General features: G+C 38.0%; 1 protein-coding gene across 11 annotated transcripts in view; it reads right to left on the bottom strand.

The window, feature by feature from the left end:
* Nucleotides 1-15865, bottom strand: part of PIEZO2 (piezo type mechanosensitive ion channel component 2) — a 479323-nt gene that overhangs the window by 136147 nt on the left and 327311 nt on the right. For all 11 annotated transcript variants that reach the window (XM_047437735.1, XM_017025918.3, XM_047437736.1 and 8 more), the window contains exon 8: nt 719-881. In XM_047437735.1, coding sequence (XP_047293691.1) covers nt 719-881 — 163 coding nt within the window. The remainder of the gene's footprint in view (nt 1-718; nt 882-15865) is intronic.

Genomic DNA, 15865 nt, shown 5'->3' on the forward strand with positions numbered 1-15865 from the left:
GAAGGAGAAAAGAGAGAAGAGAAGCCACCCAGGCTTCAGTCCTCCCCTCAGAAATGCTGTGTCCTTGTTCATATTTTCATAGGGAATAAACACCCTCAGTTGTGCTGGAAGAATATTCGAATCCCCATCCCTCACAAGGGGATACTCAGGAGGCAACAGGCACCACCAAGAGCTGGGCTATCACTCCATCTTCACAGGCTAAGAGCGCTGGAGGAGATTTGGGAAACACCAGTCCTCTTGATAACAGGGGTGTGTGTCTCTGAGAACTGAGCTTTGTTGTCAAATGTGGATTAGAATCTGATTTGTACCATCCAGTAAATGTGTGATTTTAGAAAAACTGACATCTCTAACCTCATTTTCCTCATCTGTAAATGGGTATAATACCTATTCTATTGATCAGAGTTGTTTAGTTTATTAAATGAGATAATGTATGACATGGCATATTACAGTAAGTGATCAGCAAAAATGAGTCTTCTGTTCTTCTCACTGCCTGCCATTCTTACCAGCAGTTTGTGGTAGTAAAGGGAAGCTAGTCTTTGATCTGATAGTATTTATATTCACTTAATACTCTTTGCAGAATTAAAACATCATACCCAGAACACTAGAGTTGTGTTGGAATAGAGTATCGATTAGTCAGTAGAGAACAGGAGTGAATCATTTCACGTGGAGATTCTAGGTTACTTTGCAGACAAGATCATGAAAATGTTTTTGTCCTTACAAGGGGCTCTTGCAGCCAGATGCGGATCAGAGTGGCCAGAGTGTAGTACATCACCAGCAGGAGGATAGGGTTGGCGTGGTGGTACCACGACAGGTCCGGGTTCACTATGATCTTCCAAGTACTTGAACAGTCCGTTTGAATTACTGACTTGATACCAAACAACCTGTTAAAAAACAAAGAAAAATGCTTAAAAGATGCAATAAGCTATATGTCTCCAACATTGAATAAAAGTACTTTGTTTTTGATACATTCGTGAGCTATTCCTAGGTTGATCCGTTCTATTGTAGATATTTCAATTACCCTTCTGTATACGTAATTACATATTTAAAGAATATATGTGGACATGTATGTATAATATGCATATAATATATACATTCAGTAATCATATGTGTATGTATAAAATTGACATCAACATTAACCAGAAGATCTTTACATCAGTTCAAAAATCCAGTTAATACTAAATTCTTGCACATCTATTAGAAATGTTTTAATTATTAATCAGCCCTATTAAAACCCTGTATTATAGAAATGCCAAGTATGTGGTAACATGTTACTAGTCCAGCTAAATGAGCAAATATTTTGTTTTTGGCTAGGTTCAGCATTAGTTGTACTCAGCTAGTGTTGACATTATTGGGCTAGTTCTACAGTTTAGCCATGAAAGTCAAATATACAGTAAAATTTCTGTAAGATATATTTCTATCAAATACCATTTATGAGCAATTTGATTTTTTCAAAGCATAGTAACTAATCATTTTCTTTGAAATATGACTTTGAGTCTGTTACATTTTGAAATGTTTAATTTTTATGCTGATTTCTACTAATCAGAATGTGTCTGATTATATAATGGAAAACTGTGTAAAATATGACTCATTTAGAAATTCATTTTGATGGGCAATTTTTCTAAGAAAAGACTCTACTAAATGCATAAAACTTTATAGGTTAAGTGAGTTTCATACCTTTCTACTGTTTGCATCTTTTATTTATTTTTTGTTTTTGAAATGGGGTCTCGCTCTGTCACCCAGGCTGGAGTGCAGCAGCATGATCACAGCCCACTGCAGCCTTGAGTGCCTGGGCTCACATGATCCTCCTGCCTTGGCCTCCCAAGTCGCTAGGAACACAAGGGTATGCCACCATACCCAACTATTATTTTTTTAATTACTTGTAGAGACAAAGTCTCATTATGTTGCCCAGGCTGGTCTCGAACTCCTGAGCTCAAGTGATCCTCCCAAGTTAGTCTCCAAAAGTGCTGGGATTACAGGTGTGAACAATTGCACCCAGCCTGTTTGCACTTTTATATGTGAATTTCCTTTCATTTTTATCTTACATTCTTCAGTTATAGAATCTTCAAAGGCTGCATGCCTTCCACTTGTAAAATCTCTCAGGGTGAATGCTGTTTTCTATCACAATGCAAGTGTAATATTAGTGTATTGATGAACACAGATTTTAAAGTAAGCTAAATAGATATTAAACTAACTTTCTTCATTTTTATCAGAAATAAATAAGTTATGTCATAACTTGTTCTTATTATAAAATCTTTTTATCTTAAGTTCCAGACAGATTTATTTTTGGAGTTAGCATTTTAAATAACAATTTCCTGAGTGAAAAAAGTTATGCCCCACTTAGAATGGTAGAACTTTCTGAAAATGTTTTTGCAGCCCTAGATTAAAATGTAAATTTCTTGTATAAAGTACACAGAACTGAAAGCTTTTCGATGTAAAATCAGACAAGCTAGATAGTCTCTTGGGTTAATCTAAGTGACAGCTCTTCCAGCCGCTGAGTCCTTCTCCTTGCTCCACGCCTGGCACATATGCTAGAACTAACCTCATCAACTCTCAGTTTAAAAATACTTGTTTTGTCCCATACAGAATTTTAATTGTAATTTTCTGTAGCTGTTGGTAAAGCGAACTAAATGCTTCATATCATATAGACATTACATACCTTGCCACTGATAACATAACTGATTCCAAACTGATTTTGCACATTCCTACACTAACACTGAATAATAAGACTTAGATTTTGTATTAGCAATGTATAGACCTAAAAAAATGAGCAGAAGCTAACCAGTAGCAGATTGTTGTCTCCTACAGGAACGTTTTTTAATCAAGCTATGCAAATACTATAAAACCTAAGATTTCTCTCTCTCTCTCTCTTTTTTTTTTTTTTTTTTTTTTTTTTTTTGAGACAGAGTCTCACTCCGTCGCCAGGCTGGAGTACAGTGGCGCAATCTCGGCTCACTGCAACCTCCGCCTCCCGGGTTCAAGCAATTCTTCTGCCTCAGCCTCTCAAGTAGCTGGAACCACAGGTGCGCACCACCATGCCAGCTAATTTTTGTATTTGTAGTAGGGACGGGATTTAACCATGTTGGCCAGGATGGTCTTGATCTCTTGACCTCGTGATCCGCCCACCTTGGCCTCCCAAAGTGCTGGGATTACAGATGTGAGCCACCGCACCTGGCATCTCTCTCTCTCTTTTTTTTTTTCTAAAGAAACTAGATACTGTTGAAAGGATTCATATGTGAGATGAGAAATTTGTACTTGAAGTTCACATCCTTTCTGGCACTGCAATTCTAGGATACTACACAGCATCCAACAATTATTTAATTTACTCAATGTTTGTTTCCCAGGATTGCATCTTGATACTCACAGTACAAAGAAACTGATACTATTGCACCTGCTCTCCAGGAACTACTCTGTCTACACTAAGGCCATGTGCTAGCTTGGACAGAGCAAGGTGTCACAGAAACCCTCTCTTTCAGTGGGTGGTGGGGATGGGTACTCCTCCTGACTGTCTTAAATCTCTCCATAGAAATATCTCTTCGCTTGAGAAGTATACAATGACACAATTACAGAGCAGCACATCCCAATGTACTGCTTATTTGGAAATAAAAAGGTAAAGATGAAGCTTTTCTCTTTCATGCATTTGGAACATCTTCTGTTTATCTTTGATCCTAGGCCCGATTCTACTGATAATGTATACAAATGTATTTGGTAAATGACTCGATGTCTGAGCTTTCACTTCCTAATAAAATCTAATAATGTTGATGGGTGGGGTGAGGACGCAAGTATATGAAAAAGAAAGGACAGTTTTTAGAAGATTTTATGTTAAATACTTAAGAACTCACAGATTCTATTTCCCAAAAGATAGCTGAAGATAGGTCCCCAAGAGATGATCAGTCCCCAGTAGAGACACATCAGACCCTTGGGGCCCACACTCCCACTTTGGAACCTGGTCTGTCTGCATTGCTGTTTCATGGCCAGCATTTCTGTCCACAGAACACATCCTTACTTCAATTATTATGCCAAGGGCAGTCTCCCTACCTCTAATTTCTCTTCTCTGCACATTGTGACAGCTGCCAGAGTTTCCTTGGGGAAGCTCATGTTCTCTACGCCACCCTCCTCATCCTACTCCCTACTCCCCCATTTCCTGGAGAAAAGCCCTGAGTCCCAGAAAAGCACCCCTGAGGTCTTCAGCAACCTGGTCCCCTTTTCTTTCTCCCAGACAAAAACCTTGGCTCTGCTAGATTATTTGGGGTTTACCATAAAATCTCAATCCCTTTGGTGTTGCTATTCCTCGTTTTACCAGGAGGCTTTTCAGTAGCTATGACTTTTCTGGAGTCCCCAAATCAAGAATTGGGGGTATATGTACCAGGTGAGCTTTACCCACTCCTTGGCAATGAAGATCCAAGAAATAGGACAGGCAGAGCTTCATAGACTCTCTGATACCTCTTAGGATAACACCAGCCCCCAACTCCAACTGCAATCCCATAATATGTGCATGTCACTGTATTCCTTCCAGATACCTCAATCATTCCAAAATATTACAGGGGTCACACAGGATACCAGCTGTTCAGGATGCATAATTACATTACATCCATGGCCTATCATCTGAACCTTCATGCTAATTTATGATAATTAAGTTTTGTCGTAAGCATTGGTTCTTCATCATTCTTTCCTTCAGGCCTGATATTCCTTATAGTTAATATTCACCAATACCCTGAAGCCATTTCCCAGCACACTTCATTCACGTTTCTTCCTATCTCTTTGTTGTCGCTGGTTGTTAATATCCTTGGCATCATCTAGGTCTAGTTCCAAAGTCACCATCGCCGGGAAATGTCTATGATTTCTCCTTCTTAGATTCAGTTTTCCCTATGCCTCCACAACAATGATATTTGTAGTCATAATTTGAATTTCTGCTATTTTTAGTTTACGTGCTTGTTTTGCTGCCCATTTTTATTCTAACGCCTTCCAAAAAGGGTGTATGTCTTGTCACCTTGCGTTTATGGCAGTGCTTAGGGTACGGAAGGTTTTAAAGGTAAGTTTTTTTAACTGAATTAAATACACTAAGAGTAAGTAGGTGATCACGGTTATGGTAGGAGCAGAGATTAACAGATGGAAAAGTTACTGCTTTTAAAAAAGAGAGAAAGGTAAGAAACTGTAGATATACAAACAAATTCTGGAATTTTCAGAGAAAAATCACTGCTGCTTGAATCTCAACATCCATGATTTTAGTGCCCCACTTTAGGAAATAAGAACACAGAATAAGAGGGTAACAAAGGCAACAAAAGTGCACTTTTATTTACCTAAAGTGTATCTTAGGTCATACATAGCAGAGAGTTATTTTTGTTCTCTACTGGCTATTAACAAACATTTTGAACTTTACCTTCTGAATGAAGCAATAAATGAATGTATATGGTTCAGAAATAACACTAGTTGTTGTTGTTTTTTTCTTTTTTGTTTTTTTGAGACGGAGTCTCGCTCTGTCGCCCAGGCTGGAGTGCAGTGGTGCGATCTCCGCTCACTGCGAGCTCCGCCTCCCGGGTTCACACCATTCTCCTGCCTCAGCCTCCCGAGTAGCTGAGATTACAGGCGCCCGCCACCACGCCCGGCTAACTTTTTGTATTTTTAGTAGAGACGGGGTTTCACCGTGTTAGCCAGGATGGTCTCGATCTCCTGACCTCGTGATCTGCCCGCCTTGGCTTCCCAAAGTGCTGGGATTACAGGCGTGAGCCACTGCGCCCGGCCAACACTAGTGTTTTTAAACTGAGAATCCAGGTTTATAATGAAGAAACAATGAGACTCAAATATCCAATGGTAACAAAATATGAAGCAAGCCTGAATGATTCCAAGATCCTTCAACTGCACTTTACTCAGACTACTACGAATAAAAATTCATTCCATGCTTTGTTGTTCTCACTTGTAAGTGGGAGTTAAACACTGAGTACACACGGACACTAAGAAGGGAATAACGGGACACCGGGGCCTACTTGAGGGTGAGGGTGGGAGGAGGGCGAGGATGTAAAAAACACTCATCGGGTACTATACTTATTACCTGGGTGATGAAATCATCTGTATACCTGCAACACGCTATTTATAGATATAACAAACCTGAACATGTACCTCTGAAACTATAATAAAAGTTATTAAAAAATTCATTCCATGCTTTGTGATGAAAGAGGACATCGCGACATCAGGAAGGGTTGCTCATCGCAGCACTGTGATGAGTCTTCCCCCTGAGGTCCAGCGCACGGTTCATTCTTTCGGCTCTGGGGGCCTCCATGGACTCATTATAGCTGTCCCTCCACTCCTCACGGAGCACTTACTTGCACGCTTTTCTCTCTCTCTGAAGCACTCATAACATCTGACAACATGCGGTGGTTATGAATTGGCAGGGCACTTGTTTCTGCTCGCACATGTTGGCAGATTTATAAAACCTCCACCTGTTTTCAGGTGTGCTCCAGACCACATCTGCTCCGTCTCTGGTAATACAGGATCCCAGCCATTGGCAAGAAATACGTAATACTGAAAATAGCAGCACACTTAAAAAATGTTTATTTGAGGCAAAATACACATAACATAAAGCTGATTATTTTAAACTTTTTTTTTTTTTTCTTGAGACGGAGTCTCACTCTGTCACCCGGGCTGGAGTGCATTGGGCCTCTGCTCACTGCAACCTCTGCCTCCCCGGCTCAAGTGATTCTCCTGCCTCAGCCTCCGGAGTATCTAGGATTACAGGCACGCGCCACCACGCTCAGCTAAGTTTTTGTATTTTTAGTAGAGAAGGGATTTCACCATGTTGGCCAGGCTGGTCTCCAACTCCTGACCTCGTGATTTGCCCGCCTGGGCCTCCCAAAGTGCTGGCATTACAGGAGTGAGCCACCGCGCCCGGGCCATTTTAAACATTTTTAAGAACACAGTTCAGTGGTATTAATTACACTCATATTGTTGCGAAACCAATCGCCAGAACTTTTTCATCTTGCAAAACTAAAATTCTGTACACATTAAATAAAAACTCCCTATTCCCTTCTCCTCCCAGGCCCTGGAAACCACCATTGTACTTTCTAAATCTGTGAATTTGACTACCTGGTACCTTATTTAGTGGAACCATCCAATATTTGTCTTTTGTGACTGTCTTATTTTACGTAGCATGATGGCCTCAAGGTTCATTCATGTTGTAGCATGTGTCAGAATTTCCTTCCACTTTAAGGCTGAATACATAAATATATACATATGTATGTCCCATTTGTTAATTCATCTGTTGATGGCACTTCCACCTTCTGACTATTGTTCATAACGCTGTTATGAACATGGGTGAACAAATATCTCTTCAAGACCCTGTTTTCAATTCTTTTCTATATATAGCCATAAGTGAAATTGTTGGATCGTATGACCATTCTATTTTTAATAGAGAAACTGCTCCGGTTGTTTGAGGAACTGGTATACTGTTTTCCATCAGTGCTGCCCGATTTTACATTCCCACCAGCAGTGCACAGTCTTCCAGTTTCCCTATAGCCTTGCCAAGTCTTGTTATTTTATGCTTTTCAGAGTAGTCATCCTAATAGGTGTGAGATGGGACACCATATATTTTTTTTTTTTTTGAGATGGAGTTTTGCTCTGTGGCCCAGGCTGGAGTGCAGTGGCTCAATCTCGGCTCTCGGCAAGCTCCACCTCCCTGGTTCATGCCATCCTCCTGCCTCAGCCTCCCAAGTAGCTGGGACTACAGGCGCCCACCACCACGCCCAGCTAATTTTTTGTATTTTTTTAGTAGAGACAGGGTTTCACTGTGTTAGCCAGGATGGTCTTGATCTCCTGACCTCATGATCTGCCCGCCTTGGCCTCCCAAAGTGCTAGGATTACAGGCATGAGCCACCGTGCCCCGTCCCATACTTTTAATTTAAACTTCTTTTTTCCTGAAGAGCTCAGAGTTCTAATTCCAAGACAGCTTCCAATCCTTTTAGGAAGCCAGGAAATATATTGTTTCCAACTAGCATAAAACGAATATTTGGGGACAAATAATTTTCTAGAGGAAATGTATTTTAATAATCTTCTCATTTTTAACCCCACATCCTTTAATTGAAATGAATGGAGGAAGAAATGGTAACGGGAAGTAGCCACAAAGAGGCAGATGCATTTCAGGAAGTTTGAGAATTTGAGTCCAAACTACAGACACTAGACTCAAAACACAGAAACCACACTCAACAGAGAGGAGGATTGTTGAAGCTCGGCTGAGCTCTGTCAAGGTGGAAGCCTTGTCAGCCCCCAGGATGTTCAGCCATTCCTCTTCTCATACCGTTTTCCCTGGAAAGGGTTTGGTGACAGACTCCAAGCATCCTGGGCTCCCTATGGGAATTCCCAGGCAGAGTATTCAGAAAGTTCATGAAACACCAGGAGCTAAGTGGATCAGTGGCCATGATGACTGGCCAATGAGACACACTCATGGGCTCAACTGAGAGCAGGGGAACACATGACAAGCAGCCTTGAAAGGGGGAGGAAGCTGCGTTTCTGTAAGCGAGTCCTGGTTCAGAGGAAAGAGTTCAACCTTACGGATTAATTATGTTTGAAGATATAAAGCTAGCAATAACTGCAGCCACCCATCGATGGTCCCTGGGGATTTAATTCTTTAAGTAGACATAGGTGCCCTGCAGCAGCTTATAAAACTAATTGTGGGGAAAATGGCCAGGCACTAAAAATAATTAACTTTTCTTTTTCTTCCATCCCCTACCGACCCTTTCCCCACTCTAATGGCATAAATCTAATGGCAACAAAACATGGGTCTTATTTTTAAAGGTTAAAAACAATGAAAATTCAAGTGGCACATATTCTACTTAGTATTTTAAAGCACACCTTTTAAATGAAATTGCCTTAGCATGAACTCAGGATAAACTTAAAATCAGAGGCTATAGGGCTAAAAGAAAAGAATGGTGATCCAGACATGGATTCGAGCCCTGCCTGAATGATTACCTACGTGACCCTGAGTAGGACATTTAACCACTTTAAGCCTCAATTTCCTCATTTGGAAAATGAGGCTAGTAAATAACGTATCTCAAAGAGGTAATGTGAAGACCAGAAATGATAGGCATACGACTTTTGAACTGCTTTTCATGACACTTCAACTTAGAATTGCTGAAACGGGCCTTGAAAATATCCTATATACAATTGTTTTGGATTGTAAGCTACAGGGTCACCAGATTTCTTATGTGATAGATATCAATTTCTTCCTTGTATAAAAGTATAGATGTATATAGTTCAAGCTAGAATGATACATCTTTTGTTTCCACAGCAACGTACCTAGATAATATTTGGGAGTGCTCTCACTCAGGAACAAGAGAAGAAGGAGAACAGTCTTCTGATGGTACATTATAGCTATAATCTAAATATTTATGGACACTTTCTTCTCACACATAGAATATACTTTCTACCTCTCCAAGAAAAACAGTTCCAAATTTCTACCCAGTTATACAGCTCATGAGGTGGAGGCCTAGGTGATGCTTGGTCCTCTCTTACAGTTCAGTTATTCGCTCCTTACAGGTCCACAAAATTGCACCCAGCACACGTCAGTGGAGTGGAAACATCATCAGTGCAATAAAAACTCCCATTTGGAGAAAGGAGGTGCGGGAAACACAACACAGGTACCGGATTACGGTTATGATCAAATCCCACTAGGCAGGAGCTGGGAAGACTCCCTGCCTAGCAGACACCTAAGTCTCATGCTGGAAGCCCTCGGCTCTTCACTGGGAGGAGCTTCCTTGTCAATTGTCTTTCTCAACCTCTGCCAGTCTGAAGCCTCTCCATCCCCAGACCCACCTCCCATGCTGTGTGTGACTGACATTTTGGTGAACCTAATATCTGTAATTCTCATTTAACCAAAGATCACGAAGTCTTATGCCATTAGTGTTCTTTTATATTTCTGTGTCTCGTGGCTTGAAATGGGTTGTAAACTCTTTCAGAGCCTAAATATTGTTTCTTAGATGCTTCCAAAGCACTTACATGTTTTCTATACATGGGCCATGTTCAGATTATTATAATGGCAACCCTAGTAGTAGCTTTACTAATAATTTTGCAATATGTAACTGAAACTATCAATCAGGAATGTTTGACTGAATGATTAATTGAAATTATCAATCAAAAATAATCAGAAATGTTTTCAAAGACTTTTATAAACAAAAGTTCATCAGAAAATTAATTATGCTTACAAAACAATAGGGGCAACACCTAAATACCCAATAAAAATCTATAGATTTTCTCCACTAATCATTATATAGTATTGACAATACCCAAAAGGAAAAAAAATTGGTGCATCACTGAAGAAGTCAAGTTAAGGCAAAATGAGTCAGTACGTTTTCAAATGAATATGTAATTTATGTCTTAGGGAGGATTTCAATGAAATCCATGTCTGATATTTCCAGATGTGGTAACTGCTGGAATAACTTGTATTTTTGCTTTTTTGCACAAATAGAAACTAATACATAGAACCAAATGATTTATTTATCTTTTCTCACTGCAGTTTTATTGTATTAATTTTTAAAACATTGAAGATACGTTGGGGCTCATCAAGCAGAGGAATAAAATTAGGCATGGTACAATTATAAATGGTGCAGGTTTTCTAGGACCTTGTCCCTCAGAGCTTCTTCCATTAGAAATACAGAAACTTGGGCCCCACCCAATACCTACTGAATGAAAATCTGCATTCCAACAAGACACTCAAGTGATTTATATACACATTAAAGTTTGGGAAGCATTGAGTTAAAGTCAGTTGGAAAGTTCTTTTCTCTTATTAGTAGAAACTAATATTTTACCTGCTATTTAAATCTCATCCCAGCAAATACCATTTTAATGAGAGTTCCCTTATAAAAAACATATCCCACCCTGTTTAATTGTCTAGATATTTTAGGTAATATCAAATACGATGAACACCAATTTGACAATAGAATTAAAACACTCTATTAAAAGTTGTTTGAGGTGAGATTTGATCTCTTAAATATAACTAAGTGAACATTAAATATAAGGCCAATGAAATTATACCCGAAGTATCCATTTATTAAAGCTAGATACATGGCACTAGTATAGGAAAAGGCAGAGTGTAAAAAATTTATAAGGCACAATCTTGTTCATAAAAAACTTATAGACCATATTTTTACACACTATAAGACAATTTGATTATGACCTTCTAAAGTTCTTCCGTGGCCTCATTTTATTGTTTCATGTTTTAAGATTGAACAAGACAGAAACATTCTTCAAAATAGTAGGACTTTATGGCTGGGCGCGGTGGCTCACGCCTGTAATCCTAGCACTTTGGGAGGCAGAGGTGGGTGGTTCACGAGGTCAGGAGATAGAGACCATCCTGGCTAACACAGTGAAACCCAGTCTCTACTAAAAATACAAAAAATTAGCTGAGTGTGGTGGCAGGCGCCTGTAGTCCCAGCTTCTCAGGAGGCTGAGGCAGGAGAATCACTTGAACCCAGGAGGCGGAGGTTGCAGTGAGCCAAGATTGTGCCACTGCACTCCAGCCTGGGCGACAGAGCAAGACTCTGTCAAAAAAAAAAAAAAAAAAGTAGGACTTTACAATGTTTCTAAGAAGACTATTACCTGAATTAAACGTTTTCCTTCATAGCCTATTCTGATTACAACATATGCTAAATAAAGTATATACTTTTTTCTTATTTTTTGAGTTGTTTCTCTGTCCCTTGAAAAAAATACAGATAAATAGACTAAATAGATTCTGGAACATCAACAAGGAGATAGAAATCACAATTTATACCCTTAAAGAAGTAGTCATACTTCACGTTCCTTGTCATCTCTGTTCTGCCAAAGTGCTATTAGATTAGATATAAGAAATTTCTTGAAGTACTTAGATTACTACTCCATGTTAACCTTCAATGATGTTGAATTCAGCACGGCTTTAAAAGGAATTGAGGGGAAGGTGATTTACAATAAGAAACTAATAAGAAGTTAATATGTAGCCCATTTCATGGCAGGTGAATGAAGTTGAACAAACTCTATGTATAGCCTTGAATATGTCCTGAATATACACTTGTGTATACCCAATATTTTCCTGGGAATTCTTCATCACGGAAGTATCAAAATGATTTACTCTAGATGAATTCGAGCACAGAGACAGCCTTAAATAGCTATTTGTGTTGATTTGAAAATGGTTGCAGGATCAATAGTAATATAGGAATGTAACAGAAAGGGAATGGAAAGAATAAGAATTGCATACTGAGAATTTGCTAAATCACTAAAAATTCTATCTCATCTGTACTTCTTATTTAACTGAATAAGTTTGATGGAGGACAGTAAATAAGATATGAGTTTGGAATTTTCATTTACATACAGTATTGTATGTTCATATTAGTCTCAAAATATTTGTTTAGAGCATCCTCACGGGTGTTCCCTACCATTTCGCTTCACGTCAATGCATCACTTTCCTCAACTATTCTCCTGTTGTCAAAGACTAGAAGGGCTATCATTTCATAGTCTCATTTTCAGTTAGAATATATAACCGAATTATTGGCTTCATTTTAATGGAAACAGGAATAAAAAGATGTCATTGAAATCATTGAAAAGCACGCCCTAAAGTAAGTCTATTGGCCATTTATTTTTTATCTATATTGTTAGTGGCTAATAATTTTTTGTTACACTTTAAACAGTAAATATACACATCGTCCCCCACCAAAATAATATGGAAATGTTCCATTTAATTGTCATAAGAAGAACTCTGAGAACTGCATTTAAGTACACCTAGACTCTTTACAGTAAAGCATTGATGAAATTAACAATAAAAAGGTATAATGATTTCTACTGGAATAATTACATGGGTAATTTAACAGTGGATTTGGATAAAACTGGAGGCATTTGTATGATATACAGTTAAATATTTATAAATGGTATACTGTTTTTTGGATAAAGAGGCAATCTTTAAAAACGTTAAGTAGAAGAAATTCTTAAAGTGTACATTTTCTCTTTCATTATTCTAATGAATATCTATTCAAAAATAAAAAAGAATTAAAGATTTTAGATTACAGTTATTAATCAATGGAAAGAATAATGCTGAAGATATAAGCATACCAATGTATTCCAAAGACTCAGCTATGAAGGATGTGAAACTGCCTGTTTCTTTGATCAGATTTTAATGCTGACTGCTCTATCAATGTCGAACATGTCACTTAACAAAAAATCCAAAGATGAGCAGTTCCAGGTTAGCTAATTCAATGCACAATTACACAGGTGTTTTCTCAATGTTGTTCTCAATGCATCATCGGTGTTCACCTTCATGCTTGTTCTCTCACGGTCGCAAGAAACTGCTGCAGCTTCTTACATGAAGACATAATATCTTCACAAAACTTCATACAGAGATAGAAAAAAGGTGAATCTCATTTCAAGAGCTTGTAATTTGTAGAGCTAAGCTTCTACCTGAAATCATTTTCCTTAAGTCTGAAGAGCATCCTCTAATATTTGTGTAGTGCAGGTCTGCTGGTGCAAAATTCTCTCAGTCTTTCGTATCTGATAATATCTTTATTTGACCTTCATTTCTTCTACCTACATTCTCAGATACAGAATTATAGGTTCATAGTTTTTTTCCCTTTGAGAAGCAACTTTAATAATGTTATCCTATTGCTTTTTGAATGGCATTCATTTCTGGTGAGAAGAGTGTGATAATTCTTACCACTGTTCCCTTGCACATAATGTGTCTTTTTATTTGACTGTTTTAAATATTTTTCTCTATCACTGATATTCAAATTTTTTAATTATATTGTGTTTTTGTGGGACTTTCTTTTTGTTTGTTTAGATTGGAGTTTGTTAAACTTCTTGGACAGGGTGTTTATATTTTTCAACAAATTTGGGAAACATTTGGCTGTTATTTCTTAATATACATTTGTCTATGCCCACATCTTTCTCCAGTTATACTTCTGTTAGACCTTTTGAAGCTGTCCTATAGCTTATGTGGTTCAGTGGTTTTTTTTTTTTCTTCCTCAATTTCTTTTCTTCTTGTGCTTCAATTTGGGTAGGATTTATCATTCTATCCTCAAGTTCATCTATCTTTTCTTCTGTGGTATTTAATTTGCTCTTAAGCTCATTCAGTAGATTATTATAGCTATGGTATTTTTGTAGCTCCTCAGTTTCATTTGTTCTTTTTGTCCATCAATTCTCTTTTATAAATTCCATTCCTGTTTTCATTATGTCCATTTTCTGTAATCTTGAAAATATTTTAAAAAGCTGTTTTAAGGAGGTTTCACTTATAGTTTGATTTTCATTGCTTGAGTTTTCTCTTGCTTTTTCACATGTCTAAAAATTTTCATCCGGATGCTGAACATTGTTATTTCTACATTATCGAGTGTCTCGATTTTGTTGTCATTTAAAAAGTGTTGAGTTTTATACTGGCAGGAAGTTAAGTTACTTGCATCAGCTTTATCCTAGTAGGCTTGTTTATAGGTTTTGTTGTGATGGGCCTGCAGTAACCTTCACGGTATGATTAGCTCAGTCCCAGTAGAGTAGAAGAATTCTTCACTCTGGCCAAAGCTAAAATATTTTCAGAAATCTATATGAGCTCTGGCAGTTACTAACTTTACAGTTCCTCAATTTTTGTTCTTTCCCCGGGAGTTTTGCTTTGTCTGACTTCATGGAGTCTTACCTATGCATGCACAGCTTAGAATTCAGCTAAAGTGTCTAGATGACTCCTTGAAGATCTCTGGAGCTCTTTCTCTGTCTTTCTCCTCTCCATTACTCTGTGCCACAAATATCAGCCTTCTCATCCTCTCCAAATTCCCATCTTCAGCTCAGCAAGACCACCATGCTCAGTTTGGATTCCCTTCCCCACATAATGTACAGTAAATTCCTCCAGGTAGAAAGCTGGAAAAATCCTTTAGCCTATCCTGTTGTTTCCCTTCTCTCAGCCATCATAAACCCACACTTCCAATAGCTCAGCATCTGAAAACAGTTGTTTCATATATTTTCTCTAGTTTTCTCTTTGATTATAGGAGGATAGCTGGTCTAGTACACTTCACATATCTTTTTAACACCTGCCTGACTAATATGAATATATACTTGCATAAAGGTATCTACCTACCCACCTAGAAGTAGAATGTTCTGATTAAAACAATATTTTTATCAAAGGCTTACTATATATAAACACTATATGAATAATAAATATTTTATTTGTAACCAGCTTATACATTAAAATGAATAATTACATCTTGCCTTATTTTCTCTCTTCTTACCTCATTTCAGATACAACCTAGAAGTTTTCCAGGTTGCTGGAACCAGGAAATATGAGTCAAGTATCACCCCCACCCACCACCACCTTTTTCATCAAAGATTCTACCCACAGCACCATCCTGCGCCCTCCCTGTCTCTCACCATTTACAACATAGACCTCAGGTGAACATACATCCTCTTTCAACTTCTTCCACACTTTTGTCTTTCTTGAATTCTTAGCAGAGAATCTCAGGAAAACTCCTTGTTCTCTTTTTACTTTCTTTTTATATTGTTTGTAAATTTAAACGTGATTAGAGTCATTGATTACAAATGCAATAGTGCTAGTATAAATTTGTCAGAGAAAATCAAAGTTACACATTTTGTAATGAAAATAGATTTTCTAACAAGTTTCTTACCTTCTAAAATGTGTTTCTCAAGTTATGAGACCCTTTAAAAATTGCTATTCATTTGTACTAATACATTTGTAAATGTAACAGAAAATAATAATTAGTAGAAAATGATCACATGCCTGCATGTCACCACAATGTCATTGTGCTATATAAATTTTAAATGCTTTCTCTCAACGTCTGCATTTAACTTGTTGAAAATCTGTTTCAAACAATTCATGGACCAGCACTGATCTGCCATTTGGGATAGCAGTGACTTAGAGTATTAAGTC

The sequence above is a fragment of the Homo sapiens genome, chromosome 18, assembly GCF_000001405.40.
Source record: "Homo sapiens chromosome 18, GRCh38.p14 Primary Assembly".
NCBI lineage: Eukaryota > Metazoa > Chordata > Mammalia > Primates > Hominidae > Homo > Homo sapiens.